The following is a 10,206-nucleotide window of genomic DNA, read 5'->3' on the forward strand; positions in this document are numbered from 1 at the left end:
ACCTTATGCCCAGTGTCTACCATGTGGCAGTCTATAGCAACAACCTCCTCCTCGAATGGTTTTTGTATTTTAAAACAGAAACAAAGTCTCTTGCATTTAACAGCAACATGGAACAATGACCTTTCAGCCTCTTTATGGCGAGGCAAGGATCCTAACAGACAGATGGGGGAGTTGGAGGAAAGGAGCTGAACATTGGAGCAGCTGAGCTGCAGCGTGTAGGAACATCTGGCTTACCCTTAGGTGGACAGTGGGTCTGAATGGCTCCAGTGGGTGCCCCAAATGCAGTGGCTGCACAGACGGTCCAGTGGGCAGCTGCTGCCTTGTAGATGGGCTCAAGGTACAGCTTCAAGACAGCAGTGGCCACACTGCAGATGGTGGTGACCTGTCTGCACTCCCCACCTCCTGCTTAGGGTGCTTGGTGGCTTCCTGTTCACTCAGTTTTCTCACCCAGTCTTTTCAATAGAACTTTTACCCACAAAGCACAGCCAATGACCAAGGACACCTTAGAGCAAGGACTAGTAAACCACACAGCCTTTGCACCAATGCGCCCCACTGCCTGTTTGTGTACAGCCTATGAACTAAGAATGATTTTTCCATTTTTAAACGGTTGAAAAAAACTCAGTAGAATATTTTGTGATATGTGGAAATCATATGACACTCAAATGTCAGTGTCCATAAATAATGTTTTGTTCACTTGTATGGTTTATGGCTGCTTTTGTGCTACAAAGGCAGGTTGCATACTTGCGACAGACTGTATGGTCTGCAAAACCTAAAATATTATCTGGTCCTTTGCAGAAAAGGTTGGCTGATCCCTGAGTTAAAGATACCTTCCTTCTAGGAGGAGTTGCAATTTAATTCACATTCATCCCTTAAGCAAAACAGATGAAGCTCTAATGGTGGAATTTCAGGTGTGTATCTGTGACAGGTTGACGTTTCTAGGGGGAAGTAGGAGGAAAATTAGAGCCAAGTAACAGAGGCAGCAGGATGTAAAATAGAAATTTTACTAGGCAGTAGGAATCCTGGTTTCTAATTCCACTTTCAACTGATGAATAATTATGTGATTTTGAGCAAAAAGGCTTTTCATGTCCCAGCCACTTTCCTTACCCAGGATCTCCTCTCCTGCCCTTAAAAAGGAAGACAATAGCTGTGAAATGCTTTGAGACCTAAAAAAAAGTCATTCAAATCAAAGATTAGGAGGAAAAAAAAATTAGGCAATTCTAGAACATTCTGATAAGGTGATATCTGATATTTCTTCCCTTTTTTGATATCTGAAATATCTGATATTTCTTCCCTTTTTTTTTTTTAAATTTTTTGAGATAGGGTCTTGCTTTGTCATCCAGGCTGAAGTGCAGTGTCACCAACATAGCTTACTCCAGCCTCTACCTCCCAGGCTCAAGCGATCCTCTTGCCTCAGCCCTCCAAGTAGCTGAGACTACAGGCATGTGCCACCACGTCTGGCTAATTTTTGTATTTTTTGTAGAGTTGGGGTTTGCCATGTTGCCCAGGCTGGTCTCAAACACCTGGGCTCAAGCCATCCGTCTGCCTCAGCCTCCCAAACTGTTGGGCTCACAGGTGTGGGCCACCACGCCCGGCCTTTCTTCCTTTCAAAGAAGGGAAACAAAATATCTATAGGTGTAGTGACCCTATGCTCCTCAAAACCCTTAGCTTGACAACAAGTCTATTATAGGCCCTTGGCATTTGTGCAACTGAGACACAGTCATTCCCAAGCCACCCAGAAGGTCCCCGACCTATATATTTGTTATTTTGCCTAGGCACAAATCTGAGTTACTCAGCTGCTACTAAGTGAACCTAGTGTATGTAGTGGATGGCCCAGTACCGACATCCCAGGATGGCTGGCTGTTCTTTCCTGGTTATGACAGACATAGTAACTAATAAAGTGACTTAAAACATCCTTTGTAAATAAACGCTCTGTATTCATGACGCTGGCCCTCTCAAATGTCTAAGGAGGGACTCTCCATGAGTGACGTGTTTTACGTTAAAAGTATTTATTTGCAATCAGGGACTCTGGCCTGTGGTGACCATTTCTAGAAGCTGTCTAACATATCTTTAAATACCGCGCCCAGAAGTGGCTTCCTTTCATGGCAGTCTCAGTTTCTGGTTCCTAGAAGTTGCTGATTCCAACAGCACCTGATGACCACAAGTCATCTGAGGGAAGCTGTGGCCAAGAATGGATAACAACCACATTTTATTCGGACACCAAAGCAAGTTGCAATCTGAATTGCAACCACACCTTGCAATGGCGCCAACACATGCAACAGAAACAGAATTTGCACTTGGTATGTTTATTTCCGTTGCTCTTAAAAATGCAAACCCACGCTAGAGCCCATGCCAAAGACAGCTGGAACAAATTGCATCACCTGGATTTTGGGGTTTGTAATAGCTAGCCTATGTTGGTGTGCAAATTGGCCAGTTGTATGCTATTTTAAACCCTTCCTGCTCCCTTTCCCATTTTGTGCCAAGGGCACACAAAGCTGCCCAGAAGGAAGGAATTCAATCAGCATCAGAAGAATGCATTGAAGTCCTGTTTCCTAAACCCCAGGGGAGAGCTGAGTGGGAGGGAAGGACCCAGCTAGCTAAGGACAGAGTCCTTTTTATGTGTCTGTTTCCCCAAGCAGAATGCTGGGCCCAACTGATGAATGTTAGTGGGAGGGAACAATGGAAGAGGGTGGCTGGATGGCAATGAGAGGCCTGGGAAGGGCCTGGGGATGAGGAGGGGGTGGAAGCACTTCCTGAGGATCCATCCAGGCCCAGAGTTTTCAGCCGCCACCTCCAGAGCTCCGCCTGCCTGCTTGGCCAGGTCCAGTTGGCCCTGGCAGAAAGTCATCACCCTGTCCTTGCCAGCACTCCATCCTTGGCTATAAGTCTTATCTGGTCAAGCTGCTCTCTGTATTGGACCCTCCTGTCAAGTATCTGGACTTCTGGGCTGATAGTCACCTTTTTTCTGTGATGTTTCTCCCTGGTCAGTCTCAGAATTAATACATTTTTCCTCTGCTAGTCCCCTCTCCTCTTCTGAAACAGCATGGAGGTTCTGTCCACTCTAAACTCACCCAGGGTTTGGGCTGGGCTGGGCCGGATGCCCTGCATGCTGATAACTCCATGTGGCCAGCCCACGCCCTGGGTTATTTGCCAACCTGCCTTCCAGTTTTGCACAGTGCCATACCTCAGGTGCCTTCTCATGCCAGCTAGTCAGAATGGAGTGTTCTCCTATAGGACCCAGGGATAGGTTAGGGTTTGAAGTCCCTCACAAGGCCTCTAGGGTGTCAAGGCACAGGGCATCTCATGGAAGCATTGGTGTGGGATCAAGTCCATCCTAAAAAAAAGTCCTATGCTGTATTATACCTGCTAAGGGGCAAGGCTGGCCCCTCAAATAATAGGTGTCATAGGTAAGCCTCTAGTACAGTGCCACCTGCATGTTCTAGGTGCTCAGTAATGTAGAATAACAAATACTTGAGTGGCCAGGGCAGTCTGATTACTAAGAACAACCCAGAAGAGGCAGGTATTTTTTTATGAATGAAATATTTCACACCCAGAGGACTTTGTTTTACCATTGTTAATATAAACTGTGAATTTAGGATTTTTTTTTTTTTTTGAGACAGTCTTGCTCTGTCTTCCAGGCTGGAATGCAGTGGCACGATCTCAGCTCACTGCAATCTCCACCTCCCGGGTTCAAGCAATTCTCCTGACTCAGCTGGGATTACAGGCCTGTGCTACCATGCCCAGCTAATTTTTGTGTTTTTTAATAAAGATGGGGTTTCACCATGTTGGCCAGGCTGGTCTCAAACATCCTGACCTCAAGTGATCTGCCTGCCTCGGCTTCCCAAAGTGCTGGGATTACAGGCGTGAGCCACCACCCAGCCATTTTTTTTTTTTTTTTTTTGAGACAGAGTCTTGCTCTGTCACCCAGGCTGCAGTGTGGCAAGATCTCACTATCTTACTCACTGCAAACTCTGCCTTCTGGGTTCAGGCGATTTTTATGCCTCAGCCTCCCTAGTAGCTGGGACTACAGGCATGCACCACCACACCTGGCTAATTGTTTTTTTTTTTTTTTTTTTTTTTTGTATTTTTTTGTATTTTTTAGTAGTGATGGGTTTCACCATGTTGGCCAGGCTGGTCTCGAACTCCTGGCCTGAAGTGATCTACCCACCTCGGCCTCCCAAAGTGCTGGGATTATAGGCATGAGCCACTGCACCCAGCCAATTTAGAGAGCTTTAAATGCTGAAAGCATTCTGAGAAGAGGTGGGTTCCAGGTTGGCACCTGGAGGTTGTTCAAACCAAATGGGCACGTGTGGGCTCAGCCTCCCCAGTTGTTACTCTGGCATCATGGCCTCCTGGTTCCCAGTTCTGGCAGCCCTGCTCAGCCCCCTTCCCCTCATCTGTAAAATCAGGTAGCTGTCCGACTTCATAGGATTGGCGGAAGGGTCAAATATAATATATGGAATTCTTTCTGGAATGAAATAAAAAGACAGCGAGGCATCTAAGTGGGAGCACCAGAAGCCTGCAGGTCTGAGGACTCAAGGAGGCGGAGAAGATTCTCTCCCTGCCTTGGGCCTTGGGATCCCTGCTGTACCTTCAGGGTTTTCCTCCATCTGTGCCTTTTTTCCTGGTCAAAACAGACTGTTATTCAAGCACAGAGCTTTTTGTTCCTCTTTATGTCTCTAAAGGCAACTGCAACTATGTAGCCTATGAAGCCCCTGAAAAATCTAAGCCCACACCCAGGCACTGATTTAAATGAAAAAGCAGTATCCAAAAGCCCAAGGAAAATGGTCCATTGCGAAGCTGGACAATTTCCTCTCCTGACACATCTTCACAGCTTCGTAGACTGTGAGAGAATGCTGTGTTCTTAAAGTGCTTACCTGCCTCAAACTAAAGCAATACCTCCAGGAGCTATGTGATACATGTAATAAACATCTTCTTGTGCACCTTTAAAAGGCTCCCAGGTGACTCTAAGGTTCAGGTGAGATTAAGCAGCACCGTCTCAAGGCTGTGTTTGCCCTTGAAACCCAGGTAGGAGGTGGACAGGTCTGGAGCACACTCCCTCAGCACTGGTTTCTGGTCCCTTTGTAGATGAGATAAAGCGACTTCTTCAAGATCTGAGTGATACAGTGACAAATCCATTGTGGAGCTTGCTGGATCAAACCAGTGTGACATCAAAGCCCTACACAGGTCCACTGGGTTTAGCTCCAAGTGGTCTTAGCGCGCCCTTAGAACACCCTTAGAAAGTGGATCCAGATCTGGGAAAGAAGACCAAGGACTCATACTTAGGTGTCTTTCTATGTTGTTAATGGAAGAGTAAACTAAGGATGTCCCTCTAAGCCCTTTCAGGACTTAGCCAAGAGGAGTCTCCAAAGCCCCGTGAGACAGCATCCCCACAACCCTTTCTAAGGCCTGAAGGTGATGGTTCTGAAGTCCTCTGGTTCCTTCCTGGAACAAGGGTCAAATAGGAAAACCACAGAAAAATGAGACTTCCAAGAAAAGTGCAGGCATCCTAAGTTTTCAAATAAAATCTTACTTGAAGCCTAAGAAAATGGATTCAGGCAGCTTAATTCTTGTTTGTTCCATGCACAACCTATCTTTCACCAAATAGATTCTGAGGCAACTTGATGGGGCTGCTGGTAATAGGCACTGTCTGAGGTGGGAAGTGCAGCAGGCCCGGGCCTGGGTGACTGTAAAGCAGGCCCTCAGGACACAGTGGTCTGGCTGCCTGGCAGCAAGATCTCTAGAGAAAACCTGGGAAGTGCAAGAGACAGCTTTGTAAAGGGGTCCTCGGGCTTAGGAACCCCGACTGTGGCATTTCAATTGGAATGTGAGGAAGCAGCACCCAGCAGGGGTGAAGAACATGCACATCAGAATGGCCGAATGCCATTCTTTGTCTCATTGTGTAACCCTGGGCAAGTTCATTCATCTCTGAGATGGGGCTCTCATCTGTAGGAGGGGGTACTACTTCCCTCATAGAGTTTAAGGATTAAGTGTCATTGTATATGAAACATTTAGGAGCATGCTTAACTCAAGTACTCAACCTAGAACTTGCTTAAGCCTTGGACTGGCTAATGAGGGTTTGGCTTTCAATGTCAGAAGGCATTTGTGATGGTCACAACTGTGTGTGTGTGTGTGTGTGTGTGTGTGTGTGTGTACTACTGACATCTAGTGGGTGGAGGCCAGGGATGCTGGTAAACACCCCATAGTGCACAGGACAGCCTCCTACCCCCCAACAAATTATTCACCCCAAAATGTCAATAGTACTAAGGTTGAGTACCCCTGAGCTAAAGGGAGAAGTTGAGGTTAGCCCACCCATACAAGGGGAGGTGGGTAGGAAACAGGCTTACAAGTGTCGGATCTGGCAGCAACTTTAAACTCCTGCAGCCGTCCCCGGAAGCAGAACCAACCCTCTTCTCAATTGGTACACTTTTAGCAGCTATAAGTCAAGGGTATGTTAGAGACACTGGGATCAGAATGAAGACTCATAGGTCAGTGGACTGATTTAAATAGCCTTTTGGAAAGATGTGAAAAAGCAATAGAAAATGGGCCAGAACAGAAAAGAAGCTAGGGGTTGAAATGTGGTCCAGGTCACTTGAAGTCAGGAGTTTGAGACCAGCCTGGCCAACATAGTGAAACCCCGTCTCTCTCTAATAAAAATACAAAAATTAGCCAGGGGTGGTGGCGGCCGCCTGTAATCCCAGCTAATCGGGAGGCTGAGGCAGGGGAATCACTTGAATCCAGGAAGCAGAGGTTGCCATGAGCCGAGATCACACCACTGCACTCTAGCCTGGGTGACAGAGCAAGTGAGACTTTGTCTCAAAAAAAAGCAAAAGCAAAAACAAAAAAACAAATGTGGTCCAGGAAGAAAAAAAAAAAGCATCACATAGTAATAAAATATGAGGTCCATCCCCCATTCTTGATTTTTCTCTCTAGGACAAGGCAAACTACATACTCAGAACTACAAACACTTAAGTCAATGGATTTGCATTATTCTAGAAAAAGACCAATCCTTCAAAAAGTCAACAAAGTTATCTGGCTGGGCCACTATCTGCTCATGCTATGGCATCAAAGATGAAACTAAAAGTAAAAATTCTGACTCCACCAAAGCTTTGACTGATTTTGACATTTCATTTGCTTGGCAAGGCAAGTGCTCACTGGATCAACAAATCGATTCTGAAACAATTATTTGTGCCTTAACTAGCTCAAGCTCTTCATGATCATGACAGTCTGAGGATATGAATTAATCCTATCATTAAAAAGGGCCACTGAAATATTTTGATTGGCATGCCCAGTTAAATAAAAAATGCTCACATTTGCAAGCAACTGAGGCATTTTCCATGGAATCTTCTGAAAATGCCTTTAGACTTGGGAATTTTTACCTTAAGCCTGTTACTTATTTTTTACTCTTTATTAATTTTTACTCTTAAGCCTCAGCTTTATTCTCTGAAAAATGGAGATAATACTTCCACCTCTAGGGCTATGGTAAAGATTATGTGAAACTATGCACCTGAGTTCACTTTGTACTAACTGGGCCACACAACTAAAGGTAGTGCTTCAAACCCCAAAGGCTTTTCACTTTTACTTTACACTGCTCTTCCAGAGCACTTCAACAGTATTTTCAGGGTCATGCTGGATTTTTAAAAGAATCAGAACAAGAGGATGCTACCTATGAAAGTAAATTATGTACTTCACAGCAAGCATTTCTATGCCTTAGTTTCATACTTAGGTTTCAGGCAGTTCTCAGAGGCAATTATTTCCATTTTACAGATAAGGAAAATGAGATGCAAAATATTAATCTGCAAAATATGGGATTAAGTACCCTCTGACAAAGCCAGAAAATAAGGGAACTTGAAATGGAAGCCCAAGTTGGAGACTACAGTGAAATTCTACAACTCCCATGCCTTGACACCTTTGTAGGGCTAGCCCAGGAGCAGTTTCTAGGTGTAATGACCAGGATTTGGAAAGCATAGGAAATGACTGAAAAATCAGATGTACTCTAAAAGGTGACACACTAAATTCCCTTCATTGGTCTACTTGGATTTTAAGACCCCAGGGGGAGAGAGGTGTGGAGTCCTGATTCTATCTTTTCTCGGGAAGGGGTGGCACCTAAGGGTGTCTAAGTAGTGGTGACGGTGGAAGGGATGGCAGAAGGATGCTATTCCTGGGGAAAGTTAAAAAGATAAGGGCACCATCTAAAGTAATAGGAACATCAAAAAAGCTTGCCTACTAGCAAAGAAAAGGGACCATTTCTGAAATCCTTGACCACAAATACAATCTTCAACATAAGGATGCATTTTTGAAAAAGCACTTGGAATCACCTGCTTAGGAAAACATAAAAGACGACTGACTCAAGAGTTCTCACAAGTTTCTAGTCATGAGAATAAGATCTTTTCATTGGATTATGTGTGGTTCAAGAAAAGCCACTGGGAACAGTCCAAGAGAAGCAGATTTTGGAGTTTGCTTTCTCAAATTCAAATGAGATGGCAGCTCTCAGAATATGAATTCTGAGAACCTTCACCCATCCACTGATGACACAAACTTAGAAAGATCTGCCTAGCCTCTAGATAACTAGAGCTTCCAGGATTTTTTAAAAAACATCCTAAGTAGGCTGGGCACAGTGGCTCATGTTTGTAATCCTAGCACTCTGGGAGGCCGAAGCTGGAGGATCGCTTGAGGCCAGCCTGGGCAACACAGTCTATCTGTCCAGTATTTCTCTGTTGTTTTAAATGGTCTTTCAGAAAATTTTACTTCAACAATACTAATAATTTTTCAATAGGTATTGCTATTTATTAACTCTATGATCACATTCTCCTGTCACCTAATAAACCTGGCTAATTTACACATGTTGGGCATTAGCCAAATCCACAAATTATCAAGTATTCCCTCAATCCTTTTTGAAATTTTAGCTTTCTAGAGACAGGGTCTCCCTGTTACCCAGGCTGCTCTTGAACTCCTGGGCTGAAGTGATCCTCCAGCCTCGGCCTTCCGAAGTGCTGGGATTATAGGCATCAATCAGCCACTGCACCTAGCCCTAGTTTTATCGTTAAGGTATAATGCCTAGCACTTCACATCTGACTCAAGTAGACTTGAAACCACTACCCATTCATGTCCCTTGTGATACTTTGGTAATTTCCCTGAAATTGCAGAAACAGATCATGTCAAAAGTTCCACTCAGTGTTTCTGATCTTGAAAATGTCATGAAACAGATATAAAAGCCTTAATGCTTTAATATAGGGGAATATCTACATTTTATTTCCAAATTTTAAGTAATTACACTCAGTTTCAGGATTAAATCAGAAACCCTCAGATTTTCCATTTTGAATACAGGCAAACTATTGCTGACTTATCCAAGAAGATTCTAATTTAGAAGAACCACCATCTGACTTACTTTATGGTACAGGTCATGTTTGTATCCTTAAGTTTTGTGCAGCCCTGAAGATGGTGTGACTGATTTGTCCCATCCTCATGCTCCATATTAATATATGCAGTAAATTATGCATAACACTGCTAGCAGCTTTGGGTAAACTGAAATGTTACTGGTAGGAATTGAGCAGATTTATATAATCTTGATTCTCATTTACTGCCTCTTCTTAAACTAGCAAGCCTCTTCTTACTAAGCCAGTTCTTTTCAGTTTTTGTTTTAAACTCAGCTGAATACTGTAGTTCCTTCTTAAAACTTCCACATTACAAAAGGAAAGTACTTACGCACATGCTTTTAGAGATTGAAGATTTATCATTTAAAACACATTCAAAGGCAGCAGGAAGTCTATTTTTACAGCTCATTTAGTAATCAAGTTACAAATATCCCCATTTTCCATGAGACTAATGAGGATCTAAACTCACCCCAAGGGCTTAGAAATGTGTGGTTTCTCTTCAGCCATTTTCCCTCCCAATTCCAATCTCTGACCAGTGAACTCCATTTACTATTTAAAATATCTAATCACTTATCCTCCTTATGAAGTTTTCCTGACTGGTGTACAAATGCTATCCTTTAAAATGCAGATAAATGAATATGGAGGCAGTAGAAAATCTCAATGGCGGGAACATTTCTTTCACAATTTTCAATTATTCCATACAATCAGCTGAAGAAACTTAATAGGAAGAGTTACTCTGATATACCCGAGGGGGAAGGTATGCCACTTTAAAGAGAACAGCTATTTTAAATCTTTACTAAATTGAATCTCCTCCTGAGGCATCTCAATGTCCTTC

At 43.8% G+C, this 10,206-nt stretch overlaps 2 annotated features.

Annotated features, from left to right (window-relative positions):
• Positions 1,444–1,943: an enhancer, noted in NCBI's record as "H3K27ac hESC enhancer chr18:48690189-48690688 (GRCh37/hg19 assembly coordinates)". NCBI's record gives its function as "activates a minimal SCP1, AML or CMV promoter by ChIP-STARR-seq in naive H9 embryonic stem cells {active_cell/tissue: H9 hESC(naive)}" and the evidence as "EXISTENCE:reporter gene assay evidence [ECO:0000049][PMID:30033119]".
• Positions 5,781–6,361: an enhancer, noted in NCBI's record as "OCT4-NANOG-H3K27ac hESC enhancer chr18:48694526-48695106 (GRCh37/hg19 assembly coordinates)". NCBI's record gives its function as "activates a minimal SCP1, AML or CMV promoter by ChIP-STARR-seq in primed H9 embryonic stem cells {active_cell/tissue: H9 hESC(primed)}" and the evidence as "EXISTENCE:reporter gene assay evidence [ECO:0000049][PMID:30033119]".

This window comes from Homo sapiens, chromosome 18 (assembly GCF_000001405.40).
Source record: "Homo sapiens chromosome 18, GRCh38.p14 Primary Assembly".
NCBI lineage: Eukaryota > Metazoa > Chordata > Mammalia > Primates > Hominidae > Homo > Homo sapiens.